The 16,433-nt window shown below is 40.3% G+C and overlaps 1 protein-coding gene across 5 annotated transcripts in view, besides 2 other annotated features; it reads right to left on the reverse strand.

Moving 5' to 3' along the window:
* Nucleotides 1-16,433, reverse strand: part of ESRRG (estrogen related receptor gamma) — a 634,457-nt gene that overhangs the window by 615,465 nt on the left and 2,559 nt on the right. The window lies entirely within an intron of this gene.
* Nucleotides 14,972-15,738: an enhancer, noted in NCBI's record as "H3K4me1 hESC enhancer chr1:217307024-217307790 (GRCh37/hg19 assembly coordinates)". NCBI's record gives its function as "activates a minimal SCP1, AML or CMV promoter by ChIP-STARR-seq in primed H9 embryonic stem cells {active_cell/tissue: H9 hESC(primed)}" and the evidence as "EXISTENCE:reporter gene assay evidence [ECO:0000049][PMID:30033119]".
* Nucleotides 15,897-16,191: a silencer, noted in NCBI's record as "tiled region #11696; HepG2 Repressive DNase matched - State 21:Repr". NCBI's record gives its function as "represses a minimal TATA promoter and a strong SV40 promoter by Sharpr-MPRA in HepG2 cells {active_cell/tissue: HepG2}" and the evidence as "EXISTENCE:reporter gene assay evidence [ECO:0000049][PMID:27701403]".

Here is a 16,433-nt window from a genome sequence, read left to right on the forward strand (position 1 = left end):
GCTGGATGTGGTAGCTCTCGCCTGTAATCTCAGCACTGTGAGAGGCCAAGGCCGGAGGATCACTTGAGGCCAGGAGCTTAAGACCAGCCTGGGCAACATAATGAGACCCCATCTCTAGAAAAAAAAATAAAAAAGTAGCCAAGCATGGTGGCTTATTCCTGTAGCCCCAGCTACTCCAGAGGCTGAGGCTAGAGGATCACTTGAGCCCAGCATTAGAGACTGAAGTGAGCCATGATCATGCCACTGCACTCCAGCCTGGGTGACAGAGTGAGACCCTATCTCTAGAAACTAGATGGATAGATAGATAGATAGATAGATAGATAGATAGATAGATAGATAGAGACACAGATACAGATACAGATAGATATATTTCAAGAAAACAATAAAGAATGATGTATCCAATTTCAGGAGTAGAATAAAAAGAATTCTTATGCCAATTTGGGTTAATGCAATTAAAATAGCACCATTCATTACTGTGCACAAAGAAGGTCTTGCACAAGTCAATTTTAAGGTGTCCACATCCCTAACACTTCACAGACCATTTATTGAATTAGCTTTGTTTCACCACAGATAGAGGCTGTTTGTGTCGTTATGACTAAATCTAATAGATTTAAAATATTGTTCTGCCATTCTGACTCCAAGAAACAGTGGTAGCTCTTCAACATTAATCCCTTCAGGTACATGATGTGAAAATAATCCAACAATGGACCATGTAAATCTGAATCCCTCTCTACATCTGCCCTAACGACTGAATCCTAACATCCTATACAAATGAAAAGAAAAAGAGCTAAAAAATAAATAGTCCTGATTACATTTCTTTTGTATCCACAATCCCTTTTCCTGTGAATTCATTCTAATTTCATTTTGTCCTGCAGCATAAGGGCATAGTTTGTTTTTCTAGCATGATCTCTGTATTTTTCTTGTAGCTCAGTTGGCTTTGATTTACTTAGGAGAGAACATCCTTTGAGTAAACATTATATGATTTTAAAAATAACAGAGGCATTATTTGAAACAAAGGTTGGATTGGAAAGTAAATGTAAACTTAAGGTTTAATTACATTTTGTGTCATAATGTAACTTCTTAGCCAGGGATTTAAAACACTCTACAATTGAGCCCCAACTTGCCTTTCCAGTTTGTTTTCCTTCCTATTACTGGTGTGGCAGAAATTGGGTGGGCCTTGGGGCCAGTTAGATAATTTATTCACAAACATTGCTGGGCAAATATTGTGTACAAGTTAGTGTAATAAGTACTTGGGATACAAAAATGGAAAAGATTAACAGTAATAATAAGTAGATGTTGCTCCATTCCTTTGAGGAGCTCACAGTCTAATAAAAAGAAACATATACAAAAGTGATCACAAAGTATATGAAGTAATAGAAATATGATTAATGTACAGTGAGATGCCTCCTCTTAGATTTCTCCAAGGCACCCCACATTTAAACTCTCTCCAAACTAATTTTCTTCCAGGTTCCATGCCTCCATGACCACCTTTGCCATACATCCAGGAATACTGGAACCATTCTTGACACCTCCCTCTCCCTCATCCTAGAAATATTTTATTTTATTTCATTTCATACCTAATCCTAGAAATATTTTATTTCATACCTAATCCTAGAAATACTTTATTTAATCTCCACTATCACAACATTAATTCAATATATCAGAATCTCTTCCCTGAACTAACAAGTCTAGTATCATCCAATCAGCTAATACTCAAATTCATTCTTCACACAGTAGCCAAAATGAACTCTTCCAAAAAAAAAAAAAAATCTGATCATGTCTTCTCTATCTCATTTAAAATGGCATCTCATTCCCCTTAGAACAAAGAGAAATCTCCTTAACATGACTTATGACGTTCTTCAGCGTCTAGCCCCTACCTCTCCTGCCTTATCCTGTACCTCACTCTGCCATCCACAGCCCCATTGAACTAGGTTTTTATTCAACCCTTTCATACATCCCAAATTCCCTCTTAATATATGATTTTTGAACCACTGTTCCCTCTGCCTACAATTCATCTTTCTCATGTGGTTAATTCATCTTTTACATTTTCGCTCATACGTACCAACTTGGTGAAGTCTCCCTTAGTAGGCCTCCTATAATGGACTCAAAATTGTACCATTTTTTTCATCTTCATAGTATTTATCACAGTTGCAATTTCACATTTGTCTGTGGGAATCTTTGACTGATGTCTGTCTCTGCCATTAGACTATAAGCTCCACATGGGCAAGGACCATATCTACTTCTGTTCATTGTGTCCAAGGCATGGCACAGTGCCTACAGACACACAAACAATCCATTACATTTGTGGAATAAATGAAACAGAGCAAGGAAAGAGTGATGGACTTTGCCTGGGGGAAGGGAGGGATAATGTTACAGCAGAGGTGTCAGCTGTGTCGGGTCTTGAAGAATACACACACACACACACACACACACACACACACTCATTTATCAGGCAGAAGGAACACATGAGCAGATACAAAAAGAAATGCAACATTCTGAAATCGCTCAGTATAACCAAAGCTGTAGGTGTGATCCATTTTGGGGAGGGGAATAGTAAAGTGTCAGAAATGAGGCTGGAGAGATTCCGGGACTAAACCACAGAGGAACTTTTGTGCTCTGCAAAGCAATTTGGACTTTTGCCATGGGAAATCACTGAAGGGTTGTAAAAAGGGAGTAAAATGATGATCAGATTTGCATTTTAGAAAAATCACTCTCCTGGTAGTGTGAAGGATGTCCTTGATAGGTTGATACTGGAGACAGGGTGACCAGTTAGGTGGCCATCCTACAAGTCTACGTGAGAGATGATGAGGCATGAACTGAGATAAAAACAGAGGATTAAGTGAAGCGGGCAGTTTCAATAGACATTTAGGAGATGAAAATGACTGGAGATAGAAAGGAAGGAAAAAGAAAAAGTCAAAGCACACCACCCTGTTCTCTGGACATCTGGGAGGGTGGTGTGGCCATTAACCAAGTCAGGAATGCAAGTTGAGAAGTTAACCTGGGAAGATGGCTGAGTATGGTTTTAAATCCACTGGGATTTAACATCGGAGAGCCAGATTCTTGTGCCAGAAAGAAAACTATCTTCTGAAATGATTTTTCCTCCTATTTCATCTAATAATGTTTCAGCCAAGAACATAACCACCTACTAGTGACCACATTATAAAGCCTCCCTTGCAGCTAGATGTGGCCATATGACTAAGTTCTTGATGGTGTAATAGGAGCAGAAGAAGGCAACCTCTGTGCCATTTGCTTAAAAGGAAATTGCTTGTCCTGAATTTCTGTTCAGATAACCACGAGTTAGGTTAACTATGCAAATGACACAACACCTTAGAGGAAGGCAGGGAAGCAATATGGAGATAAAGCAGATGGGCCAGATCAATCATTCCTCTTTTTGGACCACTTATTCTGTGAGAAAGAAACTGCTTATTTAATCCATTATATATTGGAGTTCCATTTTTAAGGGATCTTCTTTTATATGCTAAATAATATAGACTTTCAAGTAGAGATATCCAAGAGACAACTGCCAACACTGGTCTGGTTCTCCAGAGGCCTAGGCTGACAAGGGAGCACTAATATAAATTAGCATGTAGACAGTAGTAGTTTAAACCATGGGAATAGACCAGAAAAAGAAAAGCAATCTGAAGACATACCTGGATTTGCATCCTGGCCCCACCTCCTATTAGTTATGTGATTTTGACTAAGTTACCTCTAAAAGCCTATATTCTATAGGCCTGTAATGATACCTGTATTAAGGTATCTAACTGCTACAAAATATCAATCATCACATCTCAGTAGCTTAATACATTGAAGATTTCTTACTCAGATGAAGCCCAGGTGTATATACAGGAGGACCCAGGCTTCTTCATCCGGTGGTTCTTCCTCCCCTAGGATCTTAAATTCCTTCATTTACAACGACTTTCCTTCCCTAGTCCATGGCGGGAAAGACACACACACTTTTTTTTTTTTTTTTTTTTTTTGAGACAGAGTTTCACTTTTGTTGCCCAGGCTGGAGTACAATGGCTCGATCTCAGCTCACTGCAACCTCCGCCTCCTGAGTTCAAGTGATTCTCCCACCTCAGCCTCCCGAGTAGCTGGGATTACAAGCATGGGCTGCCATGACCAGCTAATTTTCTTTTTTCTTTTTTTTTATTTTTAGTACAGACGGGGTTTCTCCATGTTGGTCAGGCTGGTCTCGAACTCCCGACCTCAGACCTCAGGTTATCCGCCTGCCTCGGCCTCCCAAAGTGCTGAGATTATAGGCGTGAGCCACCGCGCCCAGCCAGCACACACACTTCTTAACCACTTTAGCCCAGAAGTGACATATATATTTCGTTGTTGAGAGCAACTATTTGATCCCAACTTGATGCAAAACAGCCTAGGAAATGTTATCCGCCTAGCAGTCACTTCCCAGCAGAAATGCTAACCAATGGAAATGGTGCATGAATCTTTAGTGAAGCAGTGGCTTCAATAATATTCTGCTCTGTTTCTCGTGGAAATGAAAAGGAATAGATGATATACCTAACAGTATATCATGCCTAAGGGGTCCTACATAATGTTAGCACTCATCTTCTGCCTTGTCATTCTCCTCCCTCCTCCATCCTTTACACACTTGTATTATGTCCCAAATAGGCCTTCAATTTTCCCATTTCAGTGTATTAATTACATTCTTGCCTTTGTATACAAAATTTTAAGCACAATTCTTCCTTTTTCTGCTCCACCAGTTCCACCTCTTTACATGCACATGTATGTTCATTGCAGCACTATTCACAATAACAAAGACATGGAACCAACCCAAATGCTGATCAATGATAGACTGGTTAAAGAAAATATGGTACATATACACCATGGAATGCTATACAACCATAAAAAAGAATGAGATCATGTCCTTCGCAGGGGCATGGATGAAGCTGGAAGCCATTATCCTCAGCAAACTAATGCAGGAAAAGAAAAACAAACACCACATGTTCTCACTTATAAGTGGGAGCTGAACAATGATAACACATGGACACAGGGAGGGGAAAAACACACACTGGAGCCTGTTAGGGGAGAGTAGGGGGGCAGCAAGAGCATTAGGGAAAAGAGCTAATGCATGCTGGGCTTAATATCTGGATGATGGGTTGATAGGTGCAACTAACCACTATGGCACACGCTCACCTACGTAACAAACCTGCACATCTCGCACATGTACCCCAGAGCTTAAAAAAGTAAAGTAATAATTTTTAAAAATACCCATTTTAAAAGACTAGTCTCAAAGCAATCTCCTGGAATAAGCTTTCTCTAATTCTTCATGAGCAGATGAAACACCTTTGAGCCACTATCACACCACATATAACCTTTACATTTAGCACTTTCCAGATGTTGGTTTGATATAACAATATGTGCACTCACCTTCCCTGACTACCTCTGAGCCTAAGATGTAAGCTCCCTGAAGGCAGCAATTGCATTTAACTCCTCTTTGTTCAAAGTGATTAAAAGAGTAAACTGAATCTAGACTTTGAACGGAAGACACCAACACTTAGAGATTTGAGGTCTCCTAGCAATGAATGAAGAAATAAACATTTATTCCACAACTCTGGAAAGGAGGAAAAAAGCAGTTTGTCTCAAGTATTTACTCAGGTGATGACTACCTAAATTACTGGGATAGTACTATATTTCTTGATTTTACCTTGTAAATCCATGAGGAAGCATGTGTGGCAAGACCTGCTCATGAATAAAGCATGTACTTAACGAACAATAAAGCAACATATCTTTAAATATTATGATCCCTAAGAAAAACAAACAGTTCTGAAGAGGCTTCCTTAAGAACTCTCCACGTGCATGAATCAAGGTGGTGATGTGGCAGTTTTCTGGGTAATTTGATAAATGTCAACAACCAAACTATTTAAATCCATCCATCAGATGAATACACCACTCTTGAGTTATCTGAACACTTGCCAGGTCACTTTGTTCTACTTAGATATAGCCACTGCCTGAGGAAAAGAAAAAGAAAGAAAAAAACCAAGGTAATCGGGCTTAGGTAGCTCACTGAAAATGCCTGTATTTTCCTTTATCCACCAATGGTCCTCATAAAAGTAGGCAATACATAGAAAGGAGGTATGTTTCAGCAAAGAAACTCATTCTATGCCCCTAGCCAAAGGTTGAGTATCCCTCAAATAATACACAGCTTCTGTGTAAAGAGATGGTATATGATCCCTTCTCATGCTGCCCTTCTCACACCAAATGGTCTAAAATGGCCTCAGAATTCCTGAAGGATGCTAAAACAACCCTTCTGTCTTAACCATCACCCAGCTGAAGAGACCAGAGACATATCCAGGGATCCACTCCATTTCTAAATTCTCACTCCAGGGCCTCTGAAGACAGCTCAGGGCTGATCTGTATCAAGTCTGCCCATTCCCTATCCTAGATCCCAGTGCTTGCTAGGTTATCAGAACAATACTACACTGGGGAGGGAGGGCAGTGGGACTCCATTTTTATAATATACTCTATATCCATACCAGTACCACAAGTGTACTGGGCCTTCCAGGGGTCACAGGATTTCACTGGAGTATCCTGTACAGCACTAGACCTAGCAGTTGTTGTCTGTACGAAGGATGCTGTGATAAATCTGGAAAACATTACATACCATAGTCCTCTCTCAGATATTTGCAGTACATAATAGTACATACTAGACTCTGAAACATCCTATAGTGAAGAAATCTGTTGAATCCATTGTTTCACAAATGTATTTGTCTACAAGAAAAATCTTCAGACAAAACACTTGTTGACATCTTCCCTCCATAGATTGTGAGTTGGTTCCATGAGGTCAGGAACCATGCCATTTTGGTCATTTCTTTTCCTCAAGTGCTTAACATAGTATTTGATACTTTAATAAATATTTGACAAATTAATGAATATTGTATGGAAGTAGGGTCCCAAAGAACCAGCTTTGTAAAACTATATGATAAAAACATGGCATATCTATGGAACACCTCAAGTAAGAACAACCTCACTGAACTGGAAGATCACTTTGAATCTATTTAAATCCCAACATGTAAGGCAACATTAAAAATATGTTGGTATTTATTATTATCATATGTGGTCAGACAACTTCTTCTTTCCTCTCAAACTATCTTTTCTTAGTATCAAATAAATCTAACTAAATATTTCAAGATGTTTGGTGTCTAGATCCCTGATGCTTGAATTTGCTGTGTATGAGAACCTCTTGTGGGTATTATTGAAATTTCTGAGGCCCAGGGATTCAGTATTTCTAGAGCAGGGCCCAGGGCTCTACATTTTACACAAATAACCCAGGTCACTCTGTCATAGGGTTTTGGATGGAATGCACTCTCAGAAAAGCTGATCAAGAGATATTGTGGTAGAGGAGGCCTGAACTTGTTATCAGAGGCCTAGCTTTGAGTCTCAGCTCTGCATCCAGACTAGTTGTGCGGTCATGGGCAGTAATCTCTAAGCCTCACTTTCCTCTCTGTGGGATTCAAAATATGTTTCTTTACCTACCTACCTAGCTACCTACCTAGCTACCTACCCACCCACCCCGTAGCACCATGTAGGAAAAAAGTATCTATAAAACCCTGCCTTGAAGCCTAACAGATACTTAACACATGTTGTTCAATAAATCAATAAATTTGCAGTTATTTCAACATTCTATAATATTAAACAAATTATATCACGCCAAGTGGTACAGTGCAGAAAGGTTTTCTGCTGGTTATTTAGACATAGATAAAATGCCTGAACCAACTGTGCTGTATACACCCATGCCATAAGCCTGGCAAATCCCATAGTACACTTGGCCCATGTTTATGGAAATATTGTTGGCCAAATCATGGTGAGGGTCAAGCTATATGACATTGGTCACAACACATAGAATATTAAAATATTTCTTCTGCTTGGTACCAGATCTTCAAAAAGCAGACTCTTTAATCTTAAGTAGGCAAACAGCAGGAATTAACTTGGCTTGGTATAGACACACCTACAAAGGGAAGGTTCCTGCTAATCGAGTATCCTCATCAATAATAATTAACAATTGTTAAAAAATTAGAGTGCATTGGAATACATGTAATGATAATATGGTACTCTGCATATCCAATTATCTCTCCATTCAAGAGACCTTTCTGGAGCCCACAGTACTCAGGCTAATTGCTATGAACACTGCCCAACTGCATTGCATGAATACTTTGAAAGCATTAGACATTGGATTGATTGTTTCCCAAATTTGTGGCATATTCTGAAGCCTGCCTTTTGAAATAGATGTGATATTACTTATTATTTACCTTTTGTGCATAAAATAAGGAAATAAATTCTATAACTGAAAAATCTCTGCCTAAAAGATTAATTATTAGAGATTTCCAATTACGGGGTGTCAACTATACTCACGGTATATTGATTTATATCCATTTGCTTTTTGTGTTGGTGTTTCTTACTCTTCTGATTTTAAACACTTAATTGTAACTGCTTGTTCGAAGTCTCATTGCTCTGTGATTAATGCTAACAGCAAGAGAACTTTGCAAAGCTAAACTTGTGCCACAATGTTCATTTTCTATGTTTATTATTGCCTTTTGCTTATATGTTTTGGTTATAAGCTATTTTTCATGCCTGTGTCTTATGTTAGCAGTAACAAACGTGATTAATGACAGGACTTATGCAGGTAAACAGGTGAATAAATCATGCCAAGTTTGGTGACCCCATCAAAAGATGGCCTTGAAAACTCACCTCCAGCTGATGGTTGCCATAAGAGAATGCAGGAGAGCAGCCACAGCATTGCTAGACCTTCCAGTGTTTCAAGAGAAGTCTAATGCATAATAGGTACTCGATAAGTATTTGTTGATTCAATACAGAGATTCAGATTTTCATCTGAAATCCCTGGATTATTTTATTCTAAGCAACATAATGTGGTAAGTAACTGAGAACATGGACTCTTGAATCAGACTGCCTGACTTAAAAACCCAGCTCTGCCACTCATCAGCTGTATGACCTCGGGCAAGTTATAGAAAAACTCCCTGCCTCAGTTTTCTAACTTGTAAAATGGGGGAAAATAATAGTACCTACTTTGTGGAACTGTTTCAGTTAATTTTAAAATATTTTTAAAATCTTGGGAGAATATCTGGTAGAATGTAAGAGCTACGTTAAAAAGGAAACACACTAAAGCTTCCATTTTTTTAAATAAATATGTCTCATATGTAGAAAACATTTTCACATATGTTATTCCTTTTTGTCCCCACAATAATTATCAGATAAAGGTGTTATTCTGCAGATAAGGAAAGAGAATTTCCCTTGGGATCCCTCAGATGTTTTCAGGTGACAGCCACACATGTGCTCGCTGGCCACGCAAGAGCACTGTGCACAGGTACTTAGGCAGTATCCAGGGGTTTGCCCATTAGCACACTCCATAAAATGACAAATGCAGAAATTTGATCCAAGACCACTAGTGGACAAAATCGGAGGTCTCCAAACCAGTGTCCACCATAAGTCTTCTTACTCAATAACTAACTAATTAAAATAAAATGAAGATCTCATCCAAACCACTGCATTCGTTGTTTTCAATCAATAAATTAATTACCTAAAAGCAACCAATTTAAAACAATAAGCAAAGCCTTTACATTTAATAATGTCCATTGATATCCTTACTCTTTTATTAAGTTTTGTCTTAAAAATGTTTTGCAATGATTTAGTTTCTCTGCTCTCTGACTCCAAGAACTTTCTCTCAGTAACTTTACAAGCATGTCATCTGACTACTGTGGCCTATGTGTTAGAAACTGCTAAATTAGAAACACCCTGTCAACCTTTTGATTTTCCTGGTTATTGTTGGTTTAAGGCAGCTCCTTAATGTTATTTAAACAGAGGAGACTATTTGAAATTTCTTGGTAGATGAATTTGATAATGATAATTTAAAAAAAAATAACTACTGTCATCCTGAGATAAAAGATCTCATTCATAGGCTAGACACCTTATCTGAATAACTCAGGACTTCTTCGAAGAAAAAGGTCAGTGTAGCCCCACCTGTTTCCTTTTCTTGAACAGCAATAACTTTACATACTCCCTGATAATCTGCATTTGGTAAAGTTGATTGGGCATTAAAGAAGTGTCTTCTCTTTACTTGGGTTTTAAATTTTTGTTTTGTGTTATGTTTAATCTGAGTCTTTTCATGGATGTGTAATGTCTTTATTGTTAAAAATAACTACTGCTATCTCCTCAGGCGGAGGTAGGAGGATCACTTAAGCCCAGAAGTTGGAGACCAGCCTGGGCAACATAATGAGACCCCAGTCTCAAAAACATACTACTGGGAATTCATCAAAATTAAAAACTTCTATGAATAACAGAGCACTATCAACAAAGTGTTAAAAAAACCCACAGAATAAGAGAAAATACAAATATTTGCAAATCCTATATCTTAGGATTTAATATTCGGAATATATAAAGAACTCTTACAACTCAACAACAAAGAGACAAAAGTCCCAATTTAAAAATCGTCAAGACTCTGAATAGACATTTCTCCAAAGAGAATATACAAATGGTCAATAAGCACATGAAAATATACTTGGCATCATTAGTTACTAGGAAAATACAAATCGAAACAACAGTGAATTACCACTTACACCCACTAGTATGGCTATCAGAAATAAAAGGAAAATAAATGTTGATGAGGAATGGAGAAATTAAATCCCACATACATTTTTAATGGGAATGTAAAATTATGTAGCTGCTGTGGAAAGAAGTATGGTTGGTTCCTAAACAAAGTTGGACCCAAGAGAGCAGAAAACATATGTTTAAACAAAACTTTGTACACAGGTGTTCACAGCAGCATTATTCATAATAACCAAAAAGTGGAAGCAACCCAAATGCCTATCAGCTGATGAATGTGTAAACAAAAGGTGATATATCCATAATATTGAATACTATTCAGCGATAAAGAGGGATGAAGAACTGACTCATGTTACAATATGGATGAACCTTCATAACAAATGAAGTTATATGAAGATAATAAGAGAAAGAAGCCAGATACAAAAGGCCAAATGTTAAATGATTCCAACTATAAAATGTCCAGAATAGGCAAACCCATAGAGACAGAAAGCAGATTAAGGCTTGACAGTGGCTGAAGGGGAGGGAAGAATGAGGAGTGACTGTTTACAGGATGAGGCTTCCCTTTGGAGTGATAAAAATGTTCTGGATTCAGATGGCGACGAAGGTTGCACATCATGGTGAATGTTAAAAAAAAAAGCCACTGAATTATATTGCTTAAAATAGTTATAATGATAAATGTGATGTTACGTGAAGTTTACCTCATTAAAAAGTAAATATTAACTTGAACCCCCAGCAGAAGAAGCAAAAAGCTTCTTCTTCCTATACAAAATAATTTCACACAATATATCACCCAAATGATTTTAAGGAGTGGAATACTACATCTAGAAGATAGCAGCTGACAAGTTGTCCTTATTCCCTTTATTTCATTGTGCCACTTATCATTTGCCCTTTGATCTTGAATATCATTTTTGGTTTGTCACATTGATAGCAGAAACTGCAACTTTACTTATTTACCTATTTATAGAGAGAGGGGGTCTCACTATGTTGTGCAGGCTGGAGTGCAGCAGTGGGATCCTAGCTCACTGCAGCCTTGAACTCTGGAGCTCAAGCTATCTTCCTGCCTCAGCCTCCTGAGTAGCTCGGACTACAGGCATGCACCACCATGCCTGGCTAATTTTTCTTTTTCTTTTTTTAGACAAGGGATCTTGCTATGTTGCTCAGGCTGGTCTTGAACTCCTAGCTTCAAGCAATTCTCTCTCCTGGGCCTCCCAAAGAGCTGGGACTGCAGGTGTGAGCCACTGCACTGGTCCCGAAATGTCACCCTTCCTGATGTTACATCTCCACTTCCAAATGTTCACTGTCAATAGTTTAGCTAATTTGGTAATCATCAATTAATGAATATGTGTAGGAGTTTTCTCTCTTCTAAATTACATTAAAATGTTTGATTAAAAATAATTGAATATTAATTATTTTGGTAAAAGGGGGATATAATTTTTCAGAAATCAGTAACTTGAATCTTCTTTTAACTTATATGGGATCAATGAATCAGAAGCAATGATGTATCTGACAGAAAAAATAAAGAACATAGGAGACAAACTAAGTATTCATCAAGCCTTCCTGAAAAAGAACACATACATTTTCTCCCACGAAGAAATGCCTTTTATTGTCTTTTTTTTAACTATTAAGACGTTAGCAATAAAATATAGCTTAAATAAATGGATCAGTAGAATATACTATATTGCCACGAATTTAATTTTTCTGAATTGTAAACTCCCGTCAAACAGGTTGTACAGGTGGATATGTTGAAAACAATCTCATTTAAACACATACTTGTTAAAGCAATTAAAGGCAGATTCAGTTGGATTAGAGAACATAATTCTGAAGAAGTATGCTAAAGTTAAATGAAAAGTTCTGAAAATAAGTTCAGTTGTCCATTAATTGCAAAGGTCCAATTTCCTGAAGCTATGTTAAATACCCAAGCTATGATTTTTAAACACCTCAAAGAAAATTTCTACATAAAAAGGCATGTTTATCTTTTATGACATGTCTATTTAAAGGTTAATATGACCATATTTATTAATGACCAGGTTTATTCCAAATAGCAAAGAAAAAAAAAAACAGTGAGCAAGTATTTGAATAATTCAAGTTAAAAAAATATCTTCACTTTGATCTCAAGCATGTATCTAACTCAGGTGAAAGCAAAGGCAGTTTTAGCTAGAACTACCTGGAGAATTGAAGAGGGAGTAATCCTGTCCCACAGAATCCAAACATATCTGGTTCATGTGCTGTTATTGTAAGGAAATTTGAGAAATACAGCAACTGAAACCAACCTGTTGAAGGTGACCAAGAACTGGATGAAAGTAAATGCTTTTATTTTATGTCAAAATGAAGTGAGATATTGGAGGGCGCAGAAGACTTTGGAGGTTGTATACGTATTCAGTGGTCAACTTCTAAAAATGCTCAGCCAGAATACAGCCCTGAACATATGGCTAATACATAATCGGAGAATTCTATTTCTTCACTTAAGGGGAAAAATTTGAGTTCAAATTGGTGAGACCTAATAGAAAAGTATCAAGTTAATTGAAATTCCTTGTCAAAGAGTCACTTAGTTCTCTGGGTTCTCCCTAATTCCTTCCCTCCTGACATCTGGGTTTCAGGCCTCAGCTCTTTGCCTTGAAATGTGTAAATTTGATGATCAAATAAAATCCTGGAAGGAGACTATACTCAGTTCCTCTAGACACTGACCTCTTAGAAAAAGAAATCCCAATAAGGGAGGGCACAAGATTAGGAAGACCCCATTGCTGGAGCTCTGGAGTTGCTGACCCAAGAAAGATGATGTTGGGGATCAGAGTGGAAAAGGAGGGAGGAAAGGAATTGTTCCAACTTTTAGGAAAAGCTTAGCCATTGCCTTCATCTGTCCATGCTCAGTAATTTTATTTTTTTAATTTTGTAGAGAGGGAGGTCTCACTGTGTTGCTCAGGCTGGTCTCAAACTCCCAGAGTCCAGTGATCCTCCTGCCTTGGCCTCCCAAAGTGCTGGGATTACAGGTGTGTGACACCTTGAGCTAGGCCAATTAATTCCGTATTCTAGTCAAAGGTCTAGCTGGGAAAAGGGAGAGGAACAACTGGGATTGGTTCTCAGGCCATTTTAGTACCCAGATGACACAGCCATGCTGGTAGAGAAGGAAGGACGGTGGCTGAGGAATTGCAAGTGGGATTGAGAAAGGTGGGGAATTTCAAGGCTCATAAAGTTATCTTGGTCTGGGATGGTTCAAGCTGATTATCGCATCCCTGGCAACTTAGCAGCCAGTGGCACCACGAAAAACACAATTTAGGAACTGTCAAGAGATTATGCTCTGATTATTGGTAAAATGGTGGCTGCCACTTATAACCATGATCTAAGGTCGGTCGTCTAAGAAAAGCAGGGCCTGTATGCAGATGGGCACAGGTACCCACTTCTGTCCAATTCCACGTGCATGGACACTCTCTTGTTGCTTCTTCTTGGGGGTTACAGGTGCATGGTTACCCCGTCCTTGCCTCGTTTTGGGGGTTACAGGTCACAGATCTGAAGTATTTCTAAGAGGACAATTCCTCTTTCTGCCATTTTCCAGAGTTGCTTGAAAACGAGCTAATTTGGAGGAAATGAAATTTCTTCTTTCTTCACTAACTGATTTGGAAACAAATGGGCCTCTCCGTTCTCTGTCACCACCTCCCTTCCATACCCCGAAAGTTTCTTGTCTAGTTTTGTCTACATGGTGGAAATGTCATCTTTACTCGCAAGGAGAAAGAGAACTTGGGGTCCTTCCTATCTAGAGCCCCAGACTGTGAGGAAAGACCCAGGGCTCTAGAGGTCAGGCCACAGAGGCCTAGCGCGGGAAGGACAGGCCAGAAAGAAGCCTGCTGTTGGGAGAGCGAACTAGAAAGCTATGGCCAGCATTGCCGCATAGAGAGCTGAGCGAGTGAGTCTCACAGCCAGAGCAAGTCACTTTCCTAAGCGACGGAAGCTCCCGAATTTTAAGATCCCGTCAAAGGCGGGAAAAGCCCTAATGCTTCACAAAATTCTTGAAAGCGGAATGAATGATTTAGACTACAAACACTATGCTCCCACCGCTACCCAGGAGCCTGGCGCCTAGCGCCCCATCTTCAGGACCCAGAGTTTATGCTAAAGTAAAATTGCCGGAGGTACTGGGAGCCCACGCTCGGGCCTTCTCCAACTTTGGCCAATACTTGAGCGACGCGTGTCATAGAAACATTTTGGGGATGGGGTATCTAAATGTGTCTGAGGGTCCTTGGCTAACTAACTCCTTCACTCTTGAAAGTCCTGGGCTTTTCAAACTGAACAAGGTGGAAAGAAAGACAGCTAGCAATGGTGTTTTCCTTTTTTCTTTCTTTCTTTCTTTCTTTCTTTCTCTCTCTCTCTCTCTTTCTTTCTTTCTTTCTTTCTTTCTTTCTTTCTTTCTAACTGTGCTTTTACTTTGAGTCTTTTCCTTCTCTCTTTTCCTCAGTACTTCTGCCTTTCTTACTTTGACCTGTTCTCTCCTTTCCTTCCCTTCCCATTAGGGCCTAGGGCAAAGATCAACAGCTAAGATAAACCCTCAACCAAAGAGCTGAGCGCATTTACAGTTGGGGAATGGGGCTGAGAGATACTGAGACATCGCACCTCCAGCACCTGAATTCCAACATTTAGAGGTCAGAGCCACCGGTTTCTGCCTATGAAGATGTACTAAGTTTCGCATCTACCCATATCCCCGAATGTGGCCCAGAGTTAGTGGCAGAAACTTGTTTCTGCTTTTAACTTTGCAGTTGAGTTTTGGAAAGCGGTTTTGGGAGGGCCAGGTTGAGAATCTGGGCAGCTCCGGGCCAGATGCGGGCGCCCCGGGTCCTGTCTGAACCAGACTGCTGCTGCAATGTGAGCTCGGGAGGGAACTGGGGATGCGAGCTGGGAACAGACCGCGCTCCAGCCCCCATGGTTTGTGACGGGGAACTTCGGGCGCACACACCCTGGGGAGTAGGTCTCCTCCAAATGGCACCGACACAGACTGGCGCTGGATCTTCTCTCCCTGCTAATCTATCCGCAAAGACCGCCTGGGCACTTTTGGGGGAATGTGGCCAAAAGGGGACTCTAACTGCGACATCTACAGAGGAAGGAGAAACTGGTGGTGCCTAAGAAGTTGATCTCGATGCGCGCAGTGAGGGCACAGGGCCCTGCGCGCCAGAGAAGCGAAGCCAGCGGTCTCCACTTACTTGTTCTTAATTCCTCCCTACCCCCGCTCTGGCCTCTCATTTTCGGCCTCATGGATCCAAGACCCGAGGTTATTTTCAGTCACAACTTTCTCCACACCCCGTACCCCCAAAAGTGTACCTCAGCTCAGGCGGGAAAGGGCACTTTGACCCGCCGTGCGCGAGTTTCCAGCCAGCCGCTGCGCGCCTGAGAGAAAGAGCGCCTGGCTGCGGCTCCGAGCGCACAGCTCTTCCCCGCGTGTTTGGCGCGGCTACGTTTCTCTTGCTCCGGGCTGAGGCTCGAGGAACCTCGCCAGCCTGCTGTGGTCCCGTCCCCTTGACGTTTGATTTCTAAAACCGCATAGTCTGCGGCTCTGGCATTTAGAAAAAGAGGACAAGGTCAAGGCCTGTGGACCGACCGCCGCGATCCGCTTGCACCTTTGCTCTCACAGCAAGCGAGTCCTGGCCGCAGCCGCTGGAAAAAGGTGCCGCAGCGCCCAGTTTACCTGGAATTCAGGGACCTGACCCTGACTCTATTTCCGGCTAGTCCCAGCCTCTCCTTCCTCTCCTTTCCCCGCTTTCCGCCCAGGGCGGTTCTGAGATTTTGATTAAGAGAGATCTGTCCCCGCACCGCAGAGGGATGGTGCCAAATGGCCAGGCTTCCTGGGCACTGCGTCCTCATTCCCAGGTCAGAGCTAC

The sequence above is a fragment of the Homo sapiens genome, chromosome 1 (assembly GCF_000001405.40).
Source record: "Homo sapiens chromosome 1, GRCh38.p14 Primary Assembly".
NCBI lineage: Eukaryota > Metazoa > Chordata > Mammalia > Primates > Hominidae > Homo > Homo sapiens.